At 34.1% G+C, this 27,930-nt stretch overlaps 1 long non-coding RNA gene across 4 annotated transcripts in view, besides 1 other annotated feature; it reads right to left on the bottom strand.

Moving 5' to 3' along the window:
* Positions 1-1,183: 1,183 nt before the first annotated feature.
* Positions 1,184-27,930, bottom strand: part of LOC105376084 (uncharacterized) — a 52,939-nt gene continuing 26,192 nt past the window's right edge. The window contains exons 5-7 of one of the 4 annotated variants that reach the window (XR_007061581.1): positions 12,837-12,971; positions 7,527-7,673; positions 1,184-3,609 (exon numbers count right to left, since the gene is read on the bottom strand). This is a non-coding gene — a long non-coding RNA (uncharacterized LOC105376084). Of the gene's footprint in view, positions 3,610-7,526; positions 7,674-10,648; positions 10,865-12,836; positions 12,972-20,031; positions 20,204-23,077; positions 26,680-27,930 lie in introns of those variants that run through there. The other 3 variants (XR_007061582.1, XR_929941.2, XR_929939.1) reach the window with 3 other exon arrangements.
* Positions 23,244-23,538: a silencer, noted in NCBI's record as "tiled region #8720; K562 Repressive non-DNase unmatched - State 24:Quies". NCBI's record gives its function as "represses a minimal TATA promoter and a strong SV40 promoter by Sharpr-MPRA in K562 cells {active_cell/tissue: K562}" and the evidence as "EXISTENCE:reporter gene assay evidence [ECO:0000049][PMID:27701403]".

Here is a 27,930-nt window from a genome sequence, read left to right as displayed (position 1 = left end):
AGACAACCCACAAAGTAGAAGAAAATCTTTATGAACTACACATCTGACAAAGGTCTAATATCCAGAATCTACAGGGAACTCAAACAAATCAGCAAGAAAAAAAAAACAATTCCATAACAAATTGGACTAAGGACATGAATAGACAATTCTCAAAAGAAGATGTACAAATTGCCAACAAACATATGAAAAAATGCTCAACATCACTAATTATCAGGGAAATGCAAATCAAAACCACAATGTGATACCACCCTACTCCCGCAAGAATGGCCACAATAAAAAAATAATAGATGTTAGCGTGGATGTGGTGAAATGGAATACTTTTACATTGCTGGTGGGAATGTAAACTAGTACAAACACTATGGAAAACAGTGTGGAAATTCCTTAAAGAATTATTAAATAAAAGTAGATATACCTTTTGATACAGCAGTCCCTCTCTTGAGTATCTACCCAGAGGAAAAGAAGTCATACAAAAAAGACACTTGTATATGCATGTTTATAGCAGCACAATTCACAATTATGAAAATATGAAATCAACCCAAATGCCCATCAATCAATGTGTGGATAGAGAAAAAAATGTGATATATATATGTATGTATGTATATATATATGTATATACATATATGTATGTATGTATATATATATGTATATACATATATGTATGTATGTATATACATATATGTATATACATACGTATATATATACACACACACACCATGGAATACTACACAGACATTAAAAAAATGAAATAATGCAACCTGCATGGAATTGGAGACCATTATTCTAAGTGAAATAACTCAGGAATGGAAAACCAAACATTGTATGTTCTCACTCATAAGTAGGAGCTAAGCTATGTGGATGCAAAGGCATTAGTATGATAATTTGGACTTTGGGGACTTGTGGGAAAAGGTAGAAGGGGGTTCAGGGATAAAAGACTACACATTGGGTACAGTACACTGCGTGGGTGAAGGGTGCACCAAATTTTCAGAAATTACCACTAAAGAACCTATCCAGGAAACCAAACACCACCTGTTTCCCAAAAACCTATTGAAGTAAAAAATGAAAATAAAAAGAGGAATGAGAAATCGAGCCAACAAAACAAAAATAGAGAGTGTGAAACTTAAAATATAAAAAAAGAATGGTCTAATACAAGGAGGTCTCACTATATTGCCCAGGCTGGTCTTGAACTCCTGGTCTTAAGCAATCTCCTCCTGCAGTGGCCTCCCAAAATGCTAGGATTACAGGTACAAGCCACTACTCCTGGTCAAGAATTCTATTTTGAATCATCATAAAACAGTAAATGCCCTTGGTAATTTCTGACATGCACTTGGATAGGAAATTAAAAAATATATAGAAAGTGACAGAATTGAAAGAAAAGACCTCCTTCTCCCAAAATCTTTCCCCAAAGTTCAGGCCAGGGCAATAAACAATCTTTTTTAAACATCTAAATAGTGATCCAGGGCCATAGGGAATAACACCACAGGAGAAAGAAAATGTATTCCAGAGTATAGCATAGAGCAAATATATGCTTATGTATATATATTGTGATGATTAATTATATGGATTTTCGGCTCTGTGGATTTTTGATGTGACAGACCCCATAATTGTGACTCAACTTCTTAAAATCTCTTTATCTCACCTTCTTTCTGTAGAGAGAGAGTGGGAGAGAGAGATTTTGTGTATACATCTCTCTCACACACACACACACACACAAACACAAACAATATTGGCTCTGTTCCTTTGGATAGTGTTGACTAATACAATGTGTATAAAATTACATCTATTTACATAAATGACATTGTAATATATAACACATTAACAGTATTGCATGTCTTCTTATTTACTAATGATAGTGTCAACATTTTTATGTTCATAATGTACAAATACCCCTTATTCTCTTGACAGACATTCAATGACTGTCATGTATACAAACCATGACTATCCAGGTGCATGAATTAAAATTATTTGTTTGCTTCTGAAGTATATGTAGACTCTATTCATCAGCTATTTCCACCACACTGCTGTTGACAAAATATCTCATAATTCAGTAGGTTACATCAGCATTATTCCCATGTTCATGGAAACTGGTGGCTGTGCCTCAGGCTTTATGTTGTCTAGACTTAAATCCAGATTGTAGGAATGGTTCAGGTCTCTCTCCATTTATGTCTGTTTCGGAACACTGGCTGAAAAGGCCAAAGTTATGTTTGAGCATGCTCTTCTCCTAGAGGATCACAAGCTTGAAGGACACAATGTTTAAGCACATTTAAGACCTCTGTTCTTCACATCTAATCTACTGATCAATACAAATCAGATGTCTAAGGGCAACATCAAGAGAACAAACATATACGCTCTTCCCATAATAGTATACACGTCGAGTGTCCCTTATCTGAAAGCTTGGAACCAAAAGTGTTTCAGATTTCAGCTTTTTTTTCCTCAGATTTTGAAATCTTTGTATATACATAGTGAAATATCTTGGAAATGGGACCCAAGTCTAAATAAAAACATATATTTATGTTTCACATACACCTTATATACATAGACTAAAGATTATTTTATACAATGTTTCAAATAATTTTGTGCAGGAAAAAAGTTTGTGTGCATTGAACCATCAGGAAGCAAAGGTGTCACTATTTTAGACAACCCTGTGGACAATCTGGTTGCTTGACATCAACGTCATTCCTGACTCTGAATTTATATCCTACCAATAAGCAATCATTTTCTTATACTTAGTTACATATAAGTACTTAACATTACAAAATATGAAATTCCATTGATACAGTGAAAAATTAATGTGTTCAGAGTAACTAAGCAGCAGAGTAGCATTATCAGAATACCTGTATCAATTGTTATTTTTAAATGTTTCTTCCAGATTCATCTGCCTCATTAACAATAGCTTTTGTCTTAGAACTCTCAGTTTGATTTTATAAACTATAATGATTTCTTTTTCTGTTATGAATACATGCTGTTCTAGTCCTTCAATATGTGCATCACATTTTCACCATGTCATCTATAGGCACTTTTTCTGCAGTGTTAACAATGTCATCTTCATCATCATTATTTTCAACATCACCTTGATTCAGAACCATTTTAACTATTTTACCATTGGCCAATGAAAGAACAACTGGAGCATCATTATCGATGTTAAAAATGTCTTCCATATCCACTTCTTTCAGCTTACAGATGGACTCTGACGGTACATATATATTTTTTCTCACGTGACATACCCAATCTTTCAAAGTCACCACTCTGTGCATCATCACTATGGAACATGCTCGCGGGCCATAGGTTGTGCCAGGCATGGGCAACTTTAGTCACTGTGTTCCAAGTGTTGACAACAGCATACATACAGCATCCTTCATGCTAAAGTACTTTTGAAAACTTTCCACACCCACATCTCTGTTCATTCCTGTTAGCAAGCTTTTCAACAAAGTTTTTTTATAGTTATTCTTCATTAATTTAAGGATACCCTGATCACATGGCTAAATTAATGAAGTAATATTTGGGAGAAAGTGTGTGGCATAAACATTATTTTGATGAGAATTTCAGCTGGAAGAAGGAAGACTTGAAAACTGAGAACAAGTATTTAAGCCTCCACATCTATGGTCACAACTGCTGGAATTAAGAAGAGTCATAGATTAATTTTGAACTAGGAAAGAAGATCATATGTTTTTTTTGAATTTTTAAATTAATTTTAGAAAAAAATAAAAGTTAATATTTCTATATGAAAGCTAGTTGAAAGTAACATTGAATTTGAAGCAAAAATAACTAATTTCAAATGTCATGTGCACCTCATACTCATATTGACCCTCACAGGTCAATTAATGTCCGTAGTCATTTTTTTAATTATTAAAAAAGAAGAATATAAAGTACTTGTAACGGTTGTTGAAAATAATGCCTGTTAGGTCATTTTAATAACTGTTGATGATATAGGGTTATGCTTTGTTATATTAACATTGGTTTTATTCACTCTGAATTGGATTTTTACTTATCTTCTAATTTCCCAGAAGTAATCAAGCTTTGTATTCTTTTTCACGTGCTTGATTTTAGCTCCATGGCTAAATCCAGGAATTGACTTCAGAAACTTATGACTATTTTTTTTTCTTGGAAAAGTGGCTAGTGCCAAGAAAAAGGGTAGTATAAACATAAAAAATTATGAATCCTTTTAAATTCCTATGCCCTGACAAAATTAAAGGGAGACCACAGTAACTTAGAGCCTGAAATCAGTACATGACACTTCTAGGGAGATTGAGTCCAGGCACTCGGGGCTCTCAGCCTTAACAAAAACCTCATGGCTAAGTGAGGCACAGAAGCAATGGAATTATTCACCTTTAGAGACCACTCAGGTTTAGACAACAGTCATAATAGTAGAGATCTGAGAGCTTCACCAAATGGTCTACTCTGCTTAAAGCCCTTGGATCTTTGCACAACCACAGGCGTGGGAGTGAATCCTAATAAAGGCTGAGATTAAAATCTTGGTCAGCTCAGTAAGATGTAAGCTCAAACTTGGATGCTGTTTGATTTTTGGAAGATAACATTTATTTTACAATGGAGTTTAGGTAAAAAATTTATACTTGTTTTATGAGGAAATATTATTGCATATTACAGGAATTTAAAGAACATTTACTTAAAACCCGCTGTGCCCAGCTTCACCAGGGTCAACAAGAGATTACCTTGGCTATCACCAAGAACATAGCCTTAACATTTGTATAGGTTCAGAAGGTTGATCTAATCATTGCTCAGAACTGGTATCAGCAATTTTTAAATTTTCAATGAAACCTATAATGTTTGACATAACCAGTGACTTATCTCTTTAGAAAAACTCTAAAGCTAAACAGAACCATAGGTAGAATTTGCTTCATAACTACAGAATGAAGCAGGAAAAGTTACAATAGGAATCTGATGTTTAATGGCATCAGTCTTGTTAGCAATAACATCCCTAATAACAGATTTGTCTTCCAGTATCTGGATTTTTTTTTTCCTATTTAAACGTATCCTTTACCCTGCGAAGCTCCTGGTGGGACCCTGGCCTTAAGCTCTTTTTTTTTTTTTTCTAACGTCCACTTTTGATCCTCATCCTCGTGTTTCTTTCTGGCCCTATTCTTTTCAAACATTCTTATTGATTCATATTAATCAATCATTTTACAACCAATACTAATTACTTTGCAGGCATTCTGTCTCTTCAAAATGATTTTGCACATCTCTGCTCCAAAATACTGGTTTCAAGGCTTAATTTTAAGGAGACTACTTTACTTCCTCTATGTCCAGGGTTTTCATGAATGCCTCACTGTAGCCACTAAGTTAACAAATACACATGTCATCTCAAAATTAGTTTATAAAATCCTTTTTATCATTTGTGTAGTCTCATTTTGCCAAATACGTAGTATATTAGTATGGTCAAGGATTATGTATCTAAAAGCCCCAAATACGGAATTAAACATCATTATACAATGTTTCTTTCTTTGAGTATTAGACAGAATAACACAATTTCTAATGAGTTTATTAGGTTTTTCAGCTTTTCATTGTCAATTTTAAATCTTCATTATGATTTAACTAATCCAATGTACAGTTTAAAGTTTGGATATGGTATGTTTAAAGTTTCAAAATGGCTAACATGGAATAATTCAATTTCAGTAATGCTTTCTGTGTTTCAACTCTCCCAGAGCAAAGTAGAAGCCAGATGTTTTTCTGGGAGGACTCAAGATTTTCCCCCTTTTGTGACCATCTACCAAGGAATGTCTAGTCCAGAAGATCTTTGCATTGCAAACATTTGCTTTGGCTTGCAAAAAGTTATAGTTTCTTTTTCACCAAGATCTGTATTCTTATGCTGTTAAGACTCAGTATGAGGTTTTATGGATATCACTTATGTCATCTCTTTCTCCAAATATTATTGTGTAAAAGATGAAAATAATTTTCAAAAAACATGATTTTAAAATTAGAGAAGTATATTATAGCTAGGATTTAAAAAAACTAAAATAATCTTAGATAATTAGGAATTGCATAGCTCAAAGAATGCAGTTTAAGATGGTGACATTTCAAAGTAAAATAAAAATTGAGTTAAAAAAATAGAATAAGTTTCAAATTTGTAAATGAACATCTTCCAAGATATAAATTTACTACAAATTGAAACTAGAACTATCATATCATGGATAAAGTTCTACATGCAGAACTCTTATCACCATATTATCTTTCTTTTCTTTTTTTCTTTGTTTTTTTGTTTTGTTTTGTTTTTTGAGACGGAGTCTTGCTCTGTCGCCAGGCTGGAGTGCAGTGGCACGATCTTGGCTCACTGCAACCCCCCACCTCCTGCGTTCAAGCGATTCTTGTGCTTCAGCCTCCCGAGTAGCTGGGATTACAGGCACGTGCCACCACACCCAGCTGATTTTTGTATTTTTAGTAGAGATGGGGTTTCACCATGTTGGCCAGGATAGTCTCAATCTCCTGACCTTGTGATCTGCCCACCTCGGCTTCCCGAAGTGCTGGGATTACAGGTGTGAGCCACTGCGTTTGGCCAGTATTATCTTTCTTACCAACAGATTTCATTTTTATATTTGAATTTCGGAGTCGAAAGGCCTGTCGTGTATGAAATCCAGTTTCTCGAGTGTTCTGAAATCTATTTGTTATAAAAGGCAATATAATACTGAGAACTGTAATATAAATGCCATAGTCTCCTTATCTTGGGTACGAGATGGTGCCCTTGAGTTCCCTATGGTACAGCTTTGTGATGATGGCAAAGTGAGGCAGACCAAGTCACCTTCCCTGAAAATTCTAAACCTAGCCACCCCAGGATCCCAGTTCTGTAGCTTTCTATAGGCAGTGTCAATGGTACCTGTGTATTCAGAGTAGAGAAGAGGTTTAGTAAGTCTAAGTTTTCAAATGTAAGGTTAGACGTAGAAGGGTTTTTTTCCAAGTGATGTGGGGAGGTGCTGCCTATCAGGTAGCAAAATTAGTCAATAAAAAGTCAAAGTCATAAGTGGGAAGTTAATGATGTGCATCAAATTAGAAAAACAAAACATAGATTTAAAAAGAATAAATGGTAATAGAGTTTGTGGATAGGATGTGAGAGAATAGCCGACTTGCAGAATGGAGTTTGTTTTGATGGTTTAGAAATTCATTGGCAAAGTTTACCTGCTGATCAACAGTTGTGAAAGGTGGACAGTACTGCTTACAAGATCTGTATAAAAAAACCCTGCTCTTTATCCTGTTTTCTCATTTTTGATATCTATCTCAAACCTAAATAGCTTTAAAAAAATGAAGACTTTAAGAAATCTATTTCCAAGATACCATTTGTGTCACATGGTGCCTGGTATGTAAGAGTTATCCATTAAATGCTTACTGAGTAAATTTTTACTAAAGTGTTAATGACTCATAACTAAATTCCTTAGAGATTTGTATAATTAAAAGAACACAGAATATGAAAGAGATCTGAAGTTTTCAAGTTCTATGAGTATGCATTGCTCTTACGGTAAAATCTCAGATATTCAAAAGCAGATAGTCAGTATATATTTTGAGCTGGAAGATCATGGATTTACCTCTTTAGCTAAGACATAAGTGGTAAGTCACTGCACTGACTTCATCAAGCCAGGATCATTTTCTGTCGGAAGATAATACATGTTGCAAATAGGAATTCTGGATCGATCAGATTGCTTGTGATCTCAGACAGGTATTATAATTTCCATCTATACAGACAGATAAATAATAAATTGATATTCAAATTTAAAGGTATATATATATATATATATTTCATGCTCCTTCCATTACACCATGTTACTCCCTTAATCTCAAGGGAAAGAAAAGGGAAAGGATATAGAATATTTTTATTGAAGTAGCAGATTCTTTTTAACATTCTGAGAGCAGTCTTTGCATTAGATGCCTTTTACATACACCAGAGAGCCCAGTAATGTGCCCTCAAAGGTATAACTCAGGGAAAGAGAGGTGCACATTTAGCTATTCATGCCAAAAAATGATAGAAGACTAGCAGGCAAAGACAGTCAAATGATAAAAATCTATGCAAGTTCAATATCTCCATGGCTCTGCAAGATGACAAGATGAAGTCACTAGGCTTTATATTATTAGTCATGAATGATCAGTGTAGTTTTAAGAATACATTTCAACAAAGCAACTTTACTTTTTTTTTTTAGACACTTTTTTGACACTACATTAACAAGTGGAAGTCTCTGGACATGTACACATATAAGTTGCATCCCTCTCTATATATATCTTTCCACATAGTACATGTAGATATACATTTGAATGACTCATGTATTCATTAATGTTGCCTGAACTAGCTTTATCACTCTTTGAACCATGAATCTTAAATGGTAAGGTGCATATGATTTAGCTAAAATGCATTTTTGAAAACAAATATTACTAAGTACATTATATTCCACTCAGAAAAATAATCTTTGTTTCCTAGACTATTCATAAAATTGATGAAAAGCCATTTCCCAAATTACAAACAAACAAACAGCTCATTGGAGATAAGACAGAAATTTCTCCAAACTAAAGAAACACCAAGAAAAATTCAACTAAAACAATATATAGGTACTGATTAATTTTAATATGTTGAAATAAAATGGAAACCTCTAGTAACATAGAAAATTGCTACTTCTCCTTCCAGTTGCCCTGTAAAAAGTCAGCACTGTACAGTCTGCATTGTACTTATTCTTTGTATGGATATTGCCATGAATTTGAAAATTTAGCACTCGGTTTAATTATATCAACTCTTGAAAGTGTTAGAGTACTCTTTAGCATTGAAGTTCTTAATTTTAAGATGTACATTTTTCAAAGTGGAAATGCCCATCTTGCATGAATCTTAGAACGACCTTGTGAAGATGGCAGATAAGAAGCAATATCAGTATTTTAAAGAGGCAAATTAAAAACTCAAGGCACAAATCTGTGAAGTGACTTGAAAAAAATGAAGTTAAGAATTTGCTTCATATGTTAGTGGATCTATTTTTTTTCCCAAACAGATTGTGCAAATTTGCTTTCCTCAAAATCTTGGGCATTTGTAGATGTCAAAATAATACCTGAGCAATAAAAATAACCTTCAAGCACAGACAGTAAAACCATACCAATCTTCAAATTAATATAAAATAGCACTAAGCTCATACAGGTGTCTTTTAGGGACCAAAACTATAGCAAATTGTCACACTTTCAAAAACAAATGCTAAAGATGTATGCTTTCTCAGTTCATTTAATGTTCTTTACAGAAAGCCTAAGTTTAGGATATTATTTGGCCCTAAACTGGTAATTATCCACAAAAATATTGATTTATTCTGAGTAATAACAAAATAAAGATCTTAGCTTTCTGCATGTATGCTTGATGCCATAACCATTGGGTTTTTGCCCACCTAATAGCCTGAACAATTATTTAAATTATTCATTTACTCTTCTTAATTTGTATCCAGCAGGTAACACTGGAGTAGTTATTTATACAGTTTTAATTAATTTGAGACTTTTACTATTTTTGTATTTCCACTTAGGATTCTGAGAGAACATTAAAAGTGTATTTCTGTACATTTCAGATCGATCCCTTGAAAACGTACATTCACCAGAGGTCCTAACTAAAATAAGTAGATAGGTGAGTTTGAAAATGAATGTTGATATCTTCAGAGATACAGAAACCTTGGTAACATACACAATAAAGGTCTTAGACAATAGGAACAAGTCAAATGGTAATAAAACCAATACATGAATGAGTAAAGATATGTGAGAAAAATTAGCCTACGTAATACACTATAAGGCTAAAAGAATTATATTATCTCGTATAAAAATTTCTCGAGTATGCACTTTAACATGAACACCTCCCCATCCGTGCACACATATCAATATCTAATGAACAGAATAATTTCTAAAAATAATAAGAAAATAGTAGGATCTAAATACATCAGAAAAATAGGAAAACAACAAAAATATCTGTTAAATTATAATGGACACAAACAGGACCTCAAGGCTTAACAATAGAAACAGTTAATATGAATTAAGGTATTTATTTAATTATTTATGTATTCATTGAGCAGTATTTACTAGCCACTATATTTCATGCACTCTTCCTACCTGGTACAGGAATATTAAAATGAATTAGTTATGGCCCTTGACTTGAGGAACCAAGATTCTAGCCAGGACCCAGTTAAAACAAAACCAAAAAGACCTAGTTACAATAAAAGGTGTTTTCCTGTTAAAAGTACATAGAACCCCTAAGGTGGGAGAAAACACGTATAAGATGGACACAGGAACATGGGAACAATTGGCATTAGTAACTTTCCCTAAGAAACACATCAGGGGCTTGCATAAGAAAAAAAAAGAGAGGGGGAGGGAGGGAGGAAGGGACGGAAAGATGAAAGAAAGAGAGAGAGAAAGAGAAAGAGAGGAAGCAAAAAAAAAGAGAAAGAGAGAAAAGAAAGAAAGGGAAGGCAAAGGAAGGGAGGGGAAGGGAGAGTAGGGGAGGGAGGGAAGGGAAGGGAAGGGAAGGCAAGGGAAAGGAAGGGAAGGGAAAAAGACCATTTTTCTGGTATTAAAAAAGAATAGGAAGGACTGGATGGACTCACTTTCGACTTTCTCTACTGTACTGTACTGTTTAATAACCCCATTTTGTGTTAACATGAGGCTGTATTAGTTTGCTCAGATTACCATAACAAAATGCCACAAATTGTACAGCTGAAAAATTAGAAGTTTATTGATTCACAATTTTGAAAGCTAGAAGTCTGAAATCACTGTGTCATCAGGATTGATTTCTTCTGAAGGCCGTGAGTAAATAATCTATTCCAGGTCTCTTTTATGGGTTTATAGATAGTCGTCTACTTTCTATGTTTGTCTAGTCGTCACATCATGTTTCTTCTATGTGCGTCTGTATCTGTCTAAGTTGCCCCTTTACATAAAGACAGTAGTTATATTGGATTAGGGACCACTCTAATGATCTCATTTTAATTTGATTACCTCTATAAAGACCCAGTCTCCAAATAATGTCACAATCTGAGGGTACTAGGAATTATACAATCATATTTTGAGGGATAGTATGCAACCCATAACAAAAAGTATAGAATAATTTAATTAGACACTGCCCTGAAACATACACATACACACACACACACACACAAAGTCTATGGATATTGTCATAAAAAACTGATACTACTCTTGAGTCAGTTGAGCCAATCATTTTCCTCACCCCCAGGCCAAAAATGTAATCTGTATTAAGATTTACAGATAGGCTAGGGAAGTATTTTCCTGGTTAACAGCCATTTAAAAATACAAAAATTATATAATAACCAAATTTACTTGATGTTATGCACCCAGTGGTTTTGTGCTCAAGATATTAGATGAAGAGTTGGAGGCCCCAGCAGTAGAAGGGCAGAAGATATTCTCAATTAAGATTAATCCTCAACCTTTTAGCTTGATAGTATTGCTACTTTCTGATTCTGATGTTATAATTTATGTTCCCAAGGCTTATTCTATCCCTTTTCATAAATTGAAGAAATATAGCCTAGGCCTTCATTGGCAGAAATATATGTGTATAAAAGTACAAAATATAGCTTGGTACCTGGGATGTTTCTTTTGTGTTTCTCTGATTATTTGATATTTGAATAGATAGCTTTAGAAGCTAAATCTGAAGCAAACTCCATTGCATATATCATTAGAGAGAACTGAAGAGCTTAGCCAGTTAACTTCCACCTCCTTTGGACTAAATAAGGAAGTCTTCCTGACACTCCAATCTATACTGAAGAGCAATTCTTTTTATGGCAAAGCTTTTGAACTTTGTTTGATGCCTGCTTGCCTTTCACATGCTTAATATGTATTCATCAGTCACATCAGCAGGATAGGGAAGCATGCCCCAAGGAATGGTTGAGAATCACTGTTTGATATAGTGATAGTAATATATCATGTGGATGCAATTATTAACTATCATCTGAATGAGACAAGCACAATGATCAGTATTTCTCTTCTGTTTATATTTCAGTGCTGAAAGTATATGATTATTTACACCCCACCTGATTCTGAAAAAATGATTTGAGGTGGCCTCTACAATAAATTCAGTCCAGCAATATAAAGGTAGTCTGAAGAAACTGGACTAAAGTAAAGGTAAAATTAGTAAAATAGTATAAATTTTATAGTGTACTTGCTATGTAAAATACATGACAATACATTACACTACATAAATATTTAATCCAAATATTCAAGGATGAATTATCATTAGAATATCAGGCAATGCATCACTACACTAAAGAAAAAATTATGGCTGGGCAGAGAGATCACGCCTGTAATCCCAGCACTTTGGGAGGCCAAGGTGAGTGATCACTTGAGGTCAGGAGTTTGAGACCAGCCAGTCCAACATGGAAAAACCCTGTCTCTACTAAAAATACAAAAATTATCGAGGAGTGGTAGCACATGCCTGTAATCCCAGCTACTTGGGAGGCTGAGGCATGAGAATTGCTTGAACCCAGGAAGTGAAGGTTGCAGTGAGCCAAGATCATGTCACTGCATTCCAGCCTGGGTGATAGAGCAAGACTCTGTGTCAAATAAATAAATAAATATTTTTTAATGTTAAAAAAGGAAAAAATATGTCAGTACAGTATGTTGATAGATGTCCTAAATGTATTTATGAAGTTCAATACCTTTTATGATCACAAAATTTCAACACTAGGCATAGAAGCAATTTCCTTAACACAATAGAGCCTTCATACTTACAGCCATCATATGTGATGGAGAAACTTTTGGACATTCCATCCCTTCCCAGTTGTTCTTTTGTCTTGTTTGTTTCCTGTATTAGTACATTCTCACACTGTTATAAAGAACTATCTGAGATTGGGTAATTTTTTTTTTTAAAAGAGGTTTAATTGACTCACAGTTATGCAGGCTGTACAGGAAGCATGGCTGGGGAGGCCTCAGGAAACATAATCATGGCAGAAGGCAAAGGGGAAGCAGGCATGTCGTACATGGCTGGAGAAGGAAGAAGCGAGAGCAGGGCGAGGTGCTGCACCCTGTTAAACAATCAGATCTCATGAGAACTCACTCTCTATCGTGAGAACAGTAGGGGAGAAATCCACCCCCATGATCCAGTCACCTCCCACCAGACCCTCCTCCAACACTGGGGATTACAATTCCACATGAGATTGGGTTGGAGACCCAAATATAAACCATATTGTTTCCCTGGGTTGTCAGGAATTCCAAATCTGGAACATTTTCTCTAGTTTGTTATTCAAGATTTGAACTCAGGACTCATTGACATCACCCAACTAATAATATTCTGTCTGTTGATAATGTCTTTCTCTTTTTGAGGCTAGCCTTTATATGCCTTATAAGAAGATTGGCAATAAAAGAAACTCCAATTTGTTAATGGATCAACTAAATATTCATGAAAATTTTAACTTTTAAAAGATTCAAACAAATCCTCATTTATAAACTGTCTTCATGGTTTGTTTCTCAGTTTGCATAAGGATTTTATGTTCCTGTTTTTACAAGAATATGAATATTTGATGTATGTGTATGCACTTATTGTGTGCACAAGAAAATATCTAGACATTTCTCAACAATAAATGTATATGATTCTAAAATTATGCTTATGAGCACTTTGTTTTACTTTTATTGTCAGAACATCACTGGAGGTGTTAAGAATATACATTTTATATTTCCAACATAAAGTATTGATCTCTGACCATGATCAGATATATATCTATAGAGTAATTTAGAGAAGAGAAAGATACAAATGGAAAAAAAACAGCAGAATTTGGGGTCCTTGAGATTACAAAATAACAGTAACAATTCTTTATGTAGTTTCCCATAACTCAGGTGTGATAAACAGACCAGTGGTTCTCAGCCAGGGCTATGCATCATAGTTACTATTAGAAGCCTTTTTTTAAATTTATTTTTGGGGTTTTCTTTTAATGATTTTTGTTTAATTTTGTTTGTTTTAGTGTTTGAATGCCTTCCTTTGATTTTTCTTTTTCTTTTTCTGTTGGGTGTTCCTACCTCACGCTGTAATAACTGAATGAGAATCTCACAATCTCAGAATTACTTTTGATCCTAAGTCATGAAAATTGTTAAGAATTTCTAGTATTCTGTTAAGATATATATAACCACAGAAATAGGTGTAAAAATATAAATTGTTAAGCAAAATAAAATCTTAGGCACAGCATGAACTATTTATTCTAAAGTATAAATATCTACATAAACAACTCTGAATTTTTAAATAAAGTTCATATCAAGATAAATATAACAGTAGGTGATTGTGATGATGGGTTGAGAATGGGCCTGGGAATTAGAGATAAAGACTGATATAAAATAAAACATAGAGAAATCTTGCATGAATTTAAATTTGTGGTAAAGACTGACTAGTTCACCAAAACCATATTCTTTTATTGGACACAAATGAAGATTATAGACTCTGTGCAAGTATGCTGGAGTCACGTGAGTGAGTTTTGGACAATGGAGAGTGGTAGAAGTGAAACACAATACTTTTGGGCCTGATGAGTACACCTTATGTGTGATCACTCTGTCATTCTTTCTTTCTTTTCTTGTCCATTCAGCCGCATCACAAGATGAAAAGATCCTGGATACCTGAGTCATCAGTCAGAGAAAAGTCACCAAGTAGAGCCTACTTGGCTTACAATGGTCTGTGACATGGGTGAAAATTAATCATTTAGGTTGTTAAGCTAATGAGATGTTTTGTTAGAGTAGCTCATGCTAATCACTCTGACTAACAGAGTGATGATGGTGTGACATGAAATAAAGAATATGATTAAATATAATTTGTTTCTATGAGAAAAATGTTTTAGAAACAGAGCAAATGAGAAAAATGCTCTGCAGATAAGTCTTGTACAAAGCCACCATGGAAACCAATGTTTGTATGTGTTATTGTAAGGGTAAAAAGCAGAGAAGAAAATTCTGTTTAAAAAGATTTTCAGGTTAAAATTCTGGCTATATTGGAGAAACTGGTACCAGGCAGTTCCTCAAGCTATAAACAAGTTGAAAACTGGACAACATAAGTGAAACAGTCATTTTCAGAAATTAGAAAAGAGGCAGCATGGGATGGTGATACCTGAATCCAGAAAACTAGAGGTTACAGCTATGGGGATCTCCATCTTTTGTCTGAAAGCACTTTCTGGATTATGGCACTGGGAAGATAAATCGAAGGAGAATAGAGTTGTCTCACTGGATTGAGAAAACCGAAATCGTGTTGGGAATTCCCTAAACCGGCTAGTATATGGACAGCAGAGTACTACAGAGAATGGAGTCAGGCAGTGAATGAGCAACAATAATCTGCATAGGGATACCTTTGAATCTTTGGCTACATATTAAACTGTGCACATATAAGATTAAAAAAAAAAAATTCTGGGGCACTCTAAACTGAGTAAATTCAGAGATCACAGCGGCATGGGAGTCATTTGAGTTCCAAACACTCAAAGTGAAAGAATCTTGTCAGATAACTGAGGTATTCAGGAGAGGCACAAAAAGGTTTTAGAAGCAGGGCTGAACTAACCTAGAGTAAAGGCTACTCTACATCTGCCCTAACAAGGCTTAAAAAGAAGTGTCAAATGGATTACAGCATTCAAGGTTAAAATGTACTTTATCCCACAAACTCTACTGATTAAATCAATCTCAGTCAAATTCCCAGAAGATATTTGCAGAAACTGAAAAGTACATTCTAAATACATGTGGAAATGCAAAGAACTTAGAATAGCAAAAATAACTTTGAAAAAAAAAGAGTGAATTTGGAGGATTTGCACCACTTAATGTCAAAATGTATTATAAAGGTCAATAATCACGGCAGTGTAGCATTGGCATAAAAGTAGACATATTAGTGAATGAAATAGACTAGGGAGTCTAGAAATAGAAACACATACATATAGCCAGCTGACTTTTGACACAATTACCAAGGCAATTCAATGATGGTAAAGAGAATCTTTTCAACAAACTGTGCTGGAAATATGGGATAGGCACATGCATACAATTTAAAATGAATATCAACCTTTACCTCAGATCATACACAAATCTTACTGAAAATGTGTCTTAGATCTAAATACAAAGGCGAAAACTATAAACTTTTAGAATAAAACAAGTGAATCTTATTTGCTTTCTGTTGGGTAAATATTTTGTAAATTGGATTTAAAAACCCACAAATACAAAAAAAATGACAACATTAGAAATCGTTATCCTGAAAAATACACTGATAAAAAAATTAAGTCTGGGCAACATATTGAGACCTCACGTCTACAAAAAATGAACAAAATTAGCCGGGTGTGGTGGTGCACACCTGTAGTTTCCTCAGGAGGCTGAGGCAGGAGGATTGCTTGAGCCTGGGAGGTCAAGGCTGCAAGGAGCTGAGATCGTGCCATGGCATTCCAGCCTGGGCAACAGAGCAAGACCTTTTCTTAAAAAAAAAAAAGAAATAAAAATTAAAAACAGTGCATAGTCTGGGAGAAAATATTTACAAAACATACAACCCAAAAAGAACATGTAACCAGAACATATAAAGAATCTTTCCAATACAATATTAAGATATGCAAACTTAAAATAGTCAAAAGATTTTAATGACACGTCAACAGAAAGATATACAGATGATAAATAGGTACATAAAAATATGTTCACCAGCATTAGTCATTAGGGAAATGCAAATTGAAATCACAATGTAATAATACTATATAATCGTTAGAATGACTAAGGTTAAAAAGACTGATAGTACCAAGTATCTGCGAGAATGTGGGTCTACAGGAACTCACAAACATTGTAGGTCAGAGTGTAAAGTGGTTCTACCACTTTGAAAACTATTATGACAGCTTAAGTTATATATAAAACTACAAATTCCAAGAAATATGACCAAACAAGTCCAAGAAATATAAAAGCTTATCTACCCAACATCTTGTACCTGAATTTTTAAGAACTTCATTTGTAATAGTCAAAAACTGGAAATAAGTCAAATGTTACATCAATTGGTTAATGGATAAACAAATGTGGCATATCCATACAATAAATAATAGTCCATTATTAACTCAGTTAAAAAAAAGTAAAGGTATAAAGGAATGACATATACAATATAGCAAATAAATTTCAAAGCATTATGTTAAGTAAAGAAATCCAAGTACAAAAGACTAGATATTATATTATTCCATTTATATGACAAACTAGGAAAGATAAAATTTGAGTGATGAAAAGAAGATTAATTGTTGCCGGGGAAAGCAGACGGGAAGAGAGTATTGACTACAAAGGAGCACAAAAGAACTTTTTCAGTGACGGGAATATGGTCTATGACATTTGTGGTGGTGGTTATGCAACTGTAGACACTTGTCAAAACTCATCAAACTATGCAATTAAAATTGGTGAATTTTATTGCATATAAATTATACTTCAATAAAGCTAGCTCCCCCAATAGAAAATACAGATGTTTTAAAATAAATAAAAGCTGAGCTAATTCTCTTCTGGAGAACTGCACTGCAAGAAATGTTGTGGAAAGTTTTTCAGGCAAAATAAAAATGATAATAAATGGACATCCGGGCTTACACAGAAGAATGAAAAGCATTTAATGTTTATTCATGGTAAATGTAAGTGGTAAGTATAAACGGTAAATATATATATAAATATAAATTATTTTATTCGCTTCTTCCAAAGATACTTATTTGTTTAAAGCAAAGGTAATAGCTATTTACTTGATGATTATAATACATGAAGAAGTAAAATATATGACAACAGTAACACAATGAATGGAATAGAAAAAAAGTATACTGTACCAAAAGTCTTATATTTTTCATTAAGTTTTATAATATTATTTAAAGGTAGACTGTGATGAGTCAAAGATAAATTTTGTAAGTCCTTACAGCTTCCACTAGTGCCAATAGTGGAGATAAAATGGAAAACTAAAAAATTTCTCAGCCCAAATGAAGCTGAGAAAGACAAAAAAAGGAGCACATAGAGATAGGGAAAATAGAAAAACCAACAACAAAATGAAATGCTTAAATCTAAACTTATTGATAAATTACATGTGAATTATCTAAATTTGTCCTTTAAAAGGCAGAGATTATCATTAAATAAAAAAAAAAAAACAACCCAACTACAACCATCCCTTGGTATATGTGGGGATTGGTTCCAGGATTTTTGCATATACCAAAATCCACCCATACTTAAGTCCTACAGTAGGCCCTGTGGAACCATGTATACAAAAAGTCTGCCCTACCTATGTATGGATTTCTTGTCCCATAAATACTGTGTTTTAGACCCGCATTTGGTTGAAAAAATATTCACTTACAAGCGGACCTCCACAGTTCAATCTCATGTTGTTTAGGGGTCAACTGTTAATGCTGTTTATAGCTATACACTCTCTAGGGAGAGGTATAGATAAGTTAAAATCTAAAGGATGGAAAAAGATACCCTGTAAACAATATTAAAAAACAACAAAAACTGAGGTGGTTATGATAATATCAAAGTACTTCAGTACAAAGAATATTATCAGAAACATTTCAAAATAAAAAAGGGAAAAATAATACTGAAATATATGCATTTTATATGAGAGGTTCAAAAGATATTCATTTAAAAAAATTGAAGGACTTGAAAAATAGATAAATTCATAATTATGAGATTTTAACACACCTCTTAATTTTTTGAAATATTAGGAATATTGAAGACTTGAGCAACACTACTAACTAAATTGGTATTTTAGAGTATTATGCCTAAGAACAACAATTTATGCATTCTATTAACTGAACATAGGAACATAGAATATTTATTAAGAAGGGCCATACTGGGAATAAATTTAAATATATTAAAATCAGAGAGGGTTACCTGACTCCAGTGAAATTAAATTTGAAAAAAAAAATGAAGATATTTGGAAAATCTCCAAATATTTGAAAATTAAACAAAATACTTCTAAATAACTTACAAAGATGTGTCAAGAAGCAATAACAAGACATATTAGAAAATATTTTGAATGGAATGAATATAAAAACCTGCCAAAACAGAACATGTGTGATGTAATTAAAGCTTGAAATTCTCACAGGACAAAATAAGAAGCATCTAATATCGATGTTCTTGGATTCCTCCTTTGCTAATGGCTGATTAGCTCTTATTGAACCAATTTTTACACAGATAATTGTAAACAACAGGAGATACTCTAAAACAAACAAACAAACAAACAAAAAACTATTTGAAGTTATCAGAGACTGACCAAAAGCAGGTAGATGTTGAAGGTGACAACACTTTCTAGAAAGGAACAGTACTGAGTAGGCACCCTGGTTTCACCACTTTTAGCCTGAAGGTAGATCCTGATGCAGCTAAAATATGGAAGTGAGGAAACTTTCTTATTGGAGTGATGAACCAGAGGGCAGAGGCAGAATATTTTACAATCAGAAGAAGGGTAGGGTTGTGAGGCTATCTCCAAAATGAGAGATAAGGTAGAAACACTATGTTATACCTAAATATCTGGCTTAAGTCTAACCAAAATACATGGATAAGACTACAAACAAAAGAATATAATAGAATCCAGAATCTCTGCAATATGTAATTCACAATATCTAGAATATAAATCCAAAGTACTCAGATTTCTAAGAAACTAGAAATTTCTAAAAATGCCACACTCAAGAGAAAAACAATCAATGGAGGCAAAACTGAAGGTGTTGAAGATGTTGGAATTACAGCACCGATTTTAAACCAGCTGTTGTAATTATCTTCAAAGACCTATGGAAATATATTGATAATGAATGAAAAGATAGTGAACTTCAGCAAAGAAATAGAAACTATAAAAGAACAAACGAGAATTAAAAACTAAAAAATACAATATCTGAAATAAAAATTAACAACATATTGGAGATGACCAAAGATACAGTGAACAAAATTAAAAATAGATCAATAGGAATAACCTACACTGAATAACAGAGATAATAAATTGGGTGTAAGAGTTAAAGAAAGAGGAAAAAAACATGAAAAGTCACTCAACAGTCAAAAACAGGTTTATTTTGGAGAATAAACCAGAGAGGGACTTCTAGCTGATTTTGGTCAGGAGCATTCTCTCTTACAGACTAAGAGTATTTAAAGGTTCAGGGCAAGAGAACTTACCACAGGCTTGGAATGTTTCTGTGTGGAGGAGAAGTTTATTGCGGGGGTTGGAATGTCTCTGGCCAGAGGGGAGGTTATCTCAGGGCTGGCATGTCTCTGGTCAGGGAGGGGTTTATCTTAGGGTTGGAATGTTTCTTGTCAGAGATGTTATTTGTGGTTTATGGTCATGCTGACATTAGCCATTAGGCTGATGCCCTTTGGGGCTATTTTTGATCAAGAGGAACTTTAAGATAGCAGTGCTTGTCCAAGATGGTGATGCTCCTACTCTGTCAATGGGGAAAATGAACAGAGACTCAAGGACTTGTGCAACAATATAAAAGTATGTAATTAAGAATAATTGAAGTCACAACAGGAAAATATAAAGGGACAAAATATATAAAGAAATTTAGCTTAAAATTTATTTAATTTGGTAAAAAACATGCATTTATAGATTTAAAAGGCTCACTGAAACTCAAGGATGACAAACACAAAGAAAACCACGTCTAATTACTAAACTGCTGAAAATCAATAATAGTCTTGAAAGCAGCCAGAGAAAAACAACACATAACCTATAGAAGACCAAAATATGGTTAGGTTCAGTGAAGGTAACTGTTATATTTCCACTATGTAACACGGAGCTTAAGCCATATTAGGTACTTAGTAAATATTTACTGAGTATATAAAAGATTTCTTGAGATGTGCAAATAAAGCAAAACTTATATGTTGAGTCAGCATAGGTAGTGTAAACAGCACTAGAGTTGGGGTAAAAGAGCTTCATTTGAAGTTCACATCTACCTTCAACTAGCTAAGTGATTCTGAGTAAATTCCTTAGTTTCTGTAAGTCTCATCTCCTCATCTTTAAAACTGAATAATTACTCCATAAAGTTATTGTGAACATTGCATAAGACAGCCCATGCAAAAATGCCTGGGTTTTAACACAAAGAAGATATATTGTACAATTTAGTTGATTCTAAATATTTCTTAGTGAGATTTTATGTTGTTAAGTATTTCTTCATGGAGGTTTACTACACTGCTTAATTTCTGTGAGAGAAGGCCATATTTGACGTGCTGTTTTGCATGCAAATGTCATGTGAACTATAAAGAGTTTCCTGTTGTAAAGACAAATAACTTATTGGCATCTGCAAAATGATGAAAATTTTGTCCATACACCTTCTCAATCCCCAGCAAGGTGATGAAAATTTTAGTTTAATGCTTCTACTTCTTAAGTTTTTACAACTGACCATCTGCTAGACTTTCTTTAAATGGACCAACTTATAAAAAATCTGTTGTATTAAGGTTTCTAATAAATGAATTGAAATTAAAAAATTTTTTTCACACATGATAATTTTATTTTGTATTTACCATTTCAACTCTTAAAACATTACTATCTAATATGTAACTTCAAATTGCTACTAGTAGGCCGGACATGGTGGCTCATGTCTGTAATCCCAGCACTTTGGGAGGCCAAGGCAGGCGGATCACTTGAGGTCAGAAGTTCAAGACCAGCCTGGCCAACATGGAGAAACCCTGTCTCTACTAAATTATCTTCAAAAAAGAAAAAAAATAAAAAAAGAAATTATTGCTAGAGTTTTTAACATTTGCACCACAATAAATTTTGGTAACTTAATAGTTTTAAAGATAGGTTACAATGTTTAGCTCTACTACCATTACATATATTAACAGAATTTACAAATACACACAAATGTGTACTTTTTTGTCTAGTCAAATTAAACTTAGTAGAGGTAGACTGATAACAATTTTTTTGGTTATATTTTGACATAAAAAATGAAAAACAAAAAAATGTTTTCTGTAACATTAAAGGCAAATATATGGAAAAATGCTGTTTTTTTTTTTCTATGGATTCACATTACCAAAACAGATTTCTTATTCGACAATGTATCCTTCCTCAAAAGTGAGGAGGTGGTCAAAATGACAAAATGTTACTAAATCATTAATGGTGCTGTTTTTTCTTTCCCAGAGATTTGAAAAAATACACTATACTTTAAGGTATGTTAGGTTGGGATTATTATCCTAACACTGTGAAGACAAATTTTCATTAAGTCACACATTTTTATGTGTGAAGTACAAACAGTGAATTATCTTTATAAAATGGAAGAAAATTGCAACTACTTTTCAAATGTAACCTTGACATTTTGAAAAGTGCAGTAATGGATCTGTCCCCATGGAGACAAATATTTTACCCCTTATTTCTGCAACCAAAATTCAGCACATTATATCCCGATCTGATCCAGTCTTTATATCTGTCTTGGGGGTTTATATGATTACAGAAATGTGTCCAAGATAATGCTAAAGATTTGCAATGAATTTTTCATTCTCCACCCTTCCTATTGATACTGTATGTTATCTCTTTTTTTTTTTTCTTTAACCTCAGGTTTTTCAAGATAAAATGTGTTTTTATTCAATAAAAAATAAGATTCAGTACAAAGGAAAAGTGTGTGAGAACTTAAAAGCGGTCGCAAGCCCTAGGACTAGGAATTGTATCCCATGGTTCTCTCCGCCAGCAGGATACATTTCTGGAGATAAAGATCACTTACAAATATTCAGAGTTTGCCTGCATTTTATTATTGAAAACCACAAAATGGAAGAAATGTTTAGATTCATAAAAATGCACATTTGTCACTATGTACCTTTTTTTTGTTATTTACATTAACTGAGATAATATATAAAAACATGCTTTACTCAGTGTCTAAAATAAATTAGTTGTTCAATAGGTGTTCATTCAGTTTTGTACGGTTTTATTTTTTCATTAGTTTATGTTTGACCTTTACATTTTGAAAATATATTAACTTAAAAATTCTAATTAATAAAGTTAAAAACCAGATCTCCTATTTATCATGCATAGTACTTTGTAAATCTCTAGAAGAAATCTCAATGAATCTAACCACTGGTATGTATATTGTTATTGGTAACTTTATACATGTGATTCATAAAAATTTTTTTAAAAATGTGTGTGTGTATGTGTGTGTGTGTGTGTGTGTGTGTGTTTTGAGGGATGGGAGAACTTAGACTTTTTTCATCACTATGACAATATACTTGACGTAAGCACTTTTTTTCCTTATGTTTCAATGTCCTCTGTCTTAGGACCTGGCTTTTTAGGCCACTATAGAACTCTCTAAGATATTACTGCAAACCCTGAGTAATTTCACCTCAACCCCTCATAAGAAGACATCTAAGCAGCAAAACCACATAGTTAACACAATTTATTTCATGTCTCATTTTTTTTACCTAACTTATTTTTCCTCATTGAAATTTGTGGTATAATAAGAAATATATTTGGTTTTTGTCTCCAGTTTCAGGCATTAAGGTTCTGAAACCCTTGGAATTTCCTGAGTCACAGGATTGTCTTTTGTTATTCATCATGAAGCCCTCTGGATCACACATGACGTTTTGCTAATGAGGTGGCTTAGGATGGGGCCCATAGAGAGCATCAGATTGGGGCTGCTCACCAGAAAGACAAGTGAAGTGATCAGAATCCTATACTTTTTATCCCTATTCACTTACTTCCCAGAAAGCTGCTGGTGGTAAAGCTGTAAAATTCTTGAACAAAGAGATTTGATGAGCTTTTGGATTGGTGAAGGTATCCACATTCTTGGAGAGTGGCGCTCCCCACCTCCACAGGGACTCATACCCCTGTGCTGGGGACCCCTCCAGACCTTACCCTATGTACCCCTTCATCGAGCTGTTCCTCTGGATTCTTTAAAATATCTGTTATAATAAGCTGACAAACATGAGTAAAGTGTTTTCCTGAGTTCTGTAAGCCATTCTAGCAGATTATTAAACCCGAAGTATGGTTGTGGGAACCCCCAATTTGTAGCCAGTTGGTCAGAAGCATAGGAGACCCTGACTTGTGACTGGCATCTAAAGTGGGTCCAGTCTTGTGGGACTGAGCCCTTTTACTTGTAAGATCTGATGGTAATTCCAGGAAGATAGTGTTAGAATTGAATTGAATTGTAGGACCACCAACTGGTGTTAGAGAATTGACTGGTGTGGGGGAAAATACATCACACATTTTGGTGATCTAAGGTGAAGCATAGAAGTGTGTGAGTATAGAAGAAAAAACAGTTTGTTTTTTCAGAAAATTATCAGCACTTGATAAAAATAATTTATGGGAAGCATTTGTTTTAGACTGAGCTCCTGAACTAGACCCTAACAGATCATACTAAACCAAAATGGAGGCACTCATGCTAAGTGACACATAATCAAATTGAAACATTAAATTACCAGGTAGATTCCCAAACTCACCAATTTTTCTTGAAAATAGAAGATTCCCAACAACCCATCAGAGTGCCCACTGTACCTGAGTCAGCATAATAAAGAAGTTCCCTCTGCTTTAATGCCTATAAGTAAGCTAAAGTAAGCTGATGCTAACCAATCAGCTTTTTTTTCTATTTTGCTTCCTTGTTACCTCTTAACAAAAAAAACCACGCTTCAGCCATTTCCCAGTGGATGCTCTCATTCTATTTAGCAAAATGGAGGCTACTTCAATTCATGAATTGTGAATAAAAGGCAACTCAATCTTTAACTAAATTTGTTGTAATTTTGTTTCTTGACACACCTAAAGTTATATAATTCATTTGCCTGTTTACTTATGTCCTTCTCCACTAGAATATAAGTTTTATGAAATCAGTAACAGTGTCTCTTTGCTGCTATATTCTCTGCACCGAAACTACACCTGACACAGGTTGAGTAGATGCTCAACAAGTACTTGTTGAATTAATGAGTAAATAAGCTAATGAATAATAAATGTCTTCCTGCACTTTATTAATCTTATAGGTGCTAAAAAAGTTTACACTATCAGGGAGGAATACACACATATACATATGCAATACTTATACATCAATGTATTCATTTCCATTTTGTATTTCATTAAAGTCCTGCTATAAAAATCTTTGCTTAGTTTCTTACACAGAAAACTCTGACATCCTGTGTAGCTTATCAAACATATAAAGCCACTAGTAGAAAAAAGGTATTTGAATGAATATTTTGTGACTCATACAAGATAAATTAACTAATACACTGAATTTTCATCAGGTTTTCTGGTACTTTTAACAGGAAAATTACTCTGCTATATTATGTGTATACATCTAGCAAAGAAATTTACACATATTCCCTTTAAAATCTGTAATAAAAGATGCTTCTATTACAAATAATTATTAACCTCGTATGAGAGATCTTACTACAGGATAAGAAAATACAAAAAGAAGGGTTCTGTGCATCGGTGACTGCTCAAAATGCTTCCAAGTGTCTAAGTAAGAAATAGCTCTTCCACTTGTCAAGAGTAAACTTAGCACCTGATGTTGACCCTTCAGATCTAGCTTAAGATGATGACAATGATGGTGATCACTATCATCATCATCACCTTTTTTTTTTTTTTTTGAGATAGAGTCTCATTCTGTCATCAGGCTGGAGTGCGGTGGTGCCATCTCGGCTCACTGCAACCTCCGCCTCCTGGGTTCAAGCGATTCTCCTGCCTCAGCCTCCTGAGTAGCTGGGACTACAGGCGCACGCCACCACACCCGGCTAATTTTTGTATTTTTAGTGGAGATGGGGTTTCACCATGTTGGCCAGGATGGTCTCGATCTCTTGACCTCGTGATCTGCCCTCCTTGCCCTCCTAAAGTGCTGGGATTACAAGCATGAGCCACCACGCCCAGCCCATCATCATCTTTTATGGACAAATAGTCATCATTATCATTACCATCATCATCATCATCATCATCATCATCATCACCCCTTTCATAGACAAATCATGTGCCAAAAATTTCTGAAGACTGAAATTGTGTGTATATGTGTGTGGAATTTCAGTTGGTAGTAAAATCCTCTCCTGACCAGATCTTTTTTGTCACTAACACCTGAAATGAAACTCATATGAAGCTATTTATATTCTTTATTCTATTTTGTATGAAAGCTAATCTAATTTGCCTCATATTTATGTGGGCTTCCCAGAAATCATGAGAGATATTATGTAATATATCATATATGATTCTGTTACCCAAATTTTTAATTCCATGGGACATATTACCCTGAGGGTATCATGTATATGACCTGTTAACACAAACACTTATTGATAATATGTTTTATCATATAATCTTTACAATGGTACTGATATAGATACTATTATTATTCCCAGTTTTTGTCCTTACATAGAGACTTTATTTGAATTTTGAATTTTGTCAATTTTTCCTTTGACATCCTTCTACGGAAAAACAAAACTTCTTTTCTTGTCCAGGGATTCAAACCTTTATTACAAGTTGCATTTATTTGTCATGTCACTTTAGTCACTTTTAATCTGGAACAATTCCTATTCCTCAGTTTTTCCTTGTCCTTGATGACATTTTTGAAGGTACTGATATGTTATTTTGTAGAATGTCGCTTGGTTAGGGTTTGCCTGTTGTTTCCTCATCATTACACTTATGGAGTTTGGCAGGAGCATCACAGAAGGGATTTTGTGTCCTCAGTGCATCACATCATGGGGTCTGTTTATCCCATTGCTGTTAATATCAATTGTACTCCCTTGAATGAAGCAGCGTATACAAAGATTTCCACTACAATAATTAGTTATGATATCTTGTGAGGGAAGATCTGTGTAAATATCCTTTTTCTCATTATATTTTCACCAATTAGTTTTAGCATCCATTGATGATTCTTCCTGAAACAATTATCATTCATATGGTTGTCAAGTGGCAGTTTTCTAATTCCATCATTTTTCCTACATTTATAAGTTGAAATTCTACCATAAAAAATTCAGTTTTATAAAAAGCATTTTCTTTTCTTGCTATGGTATCTATTAAAAGACTTTTAAACATCTCACTACTTCTGCTTTATACATATACATATTTTACACCCTCCAAACACCTGATGCATTATTTCCTTTTGCAAAACCCTTGTAGACTTTCCTTAATTGGCTGATTGCTTAGATGAGTGTTCAGTAGGCCCATCTGGAAGAGTCCTGTTCAGTCTCAGAGGGTTGTGGGAGTTCTGGAAAAAACTTTGGAACCAGAGAATTCTGTCCCCAAATCAATTCAGCCTCTTACTCTCTGAAAAACCTTAAACAAATGAGAGACCTTCTCAGGGTCTCACTCTTATTCCTGTCTCTTTGAAGACAGAAACCATGTCTTTATTGTACTGTGGGTACACAAGTTCACCCGCAGTTACAGTCTATTGAACTCAACCACAGTAGTTCTCCCTTATGATCAGGGAATACATGCTAAGACTCCCACAGATGCCTGAAGCCACTAGTAGAACCACCCTAATTGCCCTCAATCAGAATATGATTCCGTTTATGTCTTCCACCCACAAATCTAATGACTTTGTTTTTTTTATCTTAAGCAAGCACTCATTACGCACTGTAGTCGCAACTTTTGCAATTTGGGGCAGGACTGCAAAACTAGCATGAATTTCCTTTTTCTTCACAATTTCATAGATAGATTAGTTCTTCCTGCAGATTTTAGCATTTTTTTTCCTTTTTGAGAACTTTCTCCTTTTCATTTAAAGGAAGCACTTTATGGCTTTTCTTTGGCATAGCCAAACTACTCTTGTGCTTTGGGGTCCTTACTGAGTAAAATAAGAGTGACTTGAACCCAAGCACAGAGATACCATGACAGGCAATCTGATAACTGAGTTGGCTACTACGTGACTAAAGGGCAGGAGAGCATCACAGTGTGGCTATGTTGGACAAAAGGATGATTCACAGGACAAAGTGGCTGGCATGAGATTTCATCAGACTACTCTGAATGGCAAGCAATTTAAAACCTATGAATTGTTTACTTCTGGAATTTTCCATTTAGTATTTTTGGCCCATGGTTGACTATGGGTAACTAAAACCACTGAAACCAAAACCATGGACAAGGGAAACTACTGCATGTATCCTCTGCACCACTACTAGTCCATTTCCTCTTTT

The sequence above is a fragment of the Homo sapiens genome, chromosome 9 (genome assembly GCF_000001405.40).
Source record: "Homo sapiens chromosome 9, GRCh38.p14 Primary Assembly".
Classification (NCBI taxonomy): Eukaryota; Metazoa; Chordata; class Mammalia; order Primates; family Hominidae; genus Homo; species Homo sapiens.
Note: the sequence above shows the minus strand (reverse complement) of the source record. Positions and strands in the feature narration are given on the sequence as shown.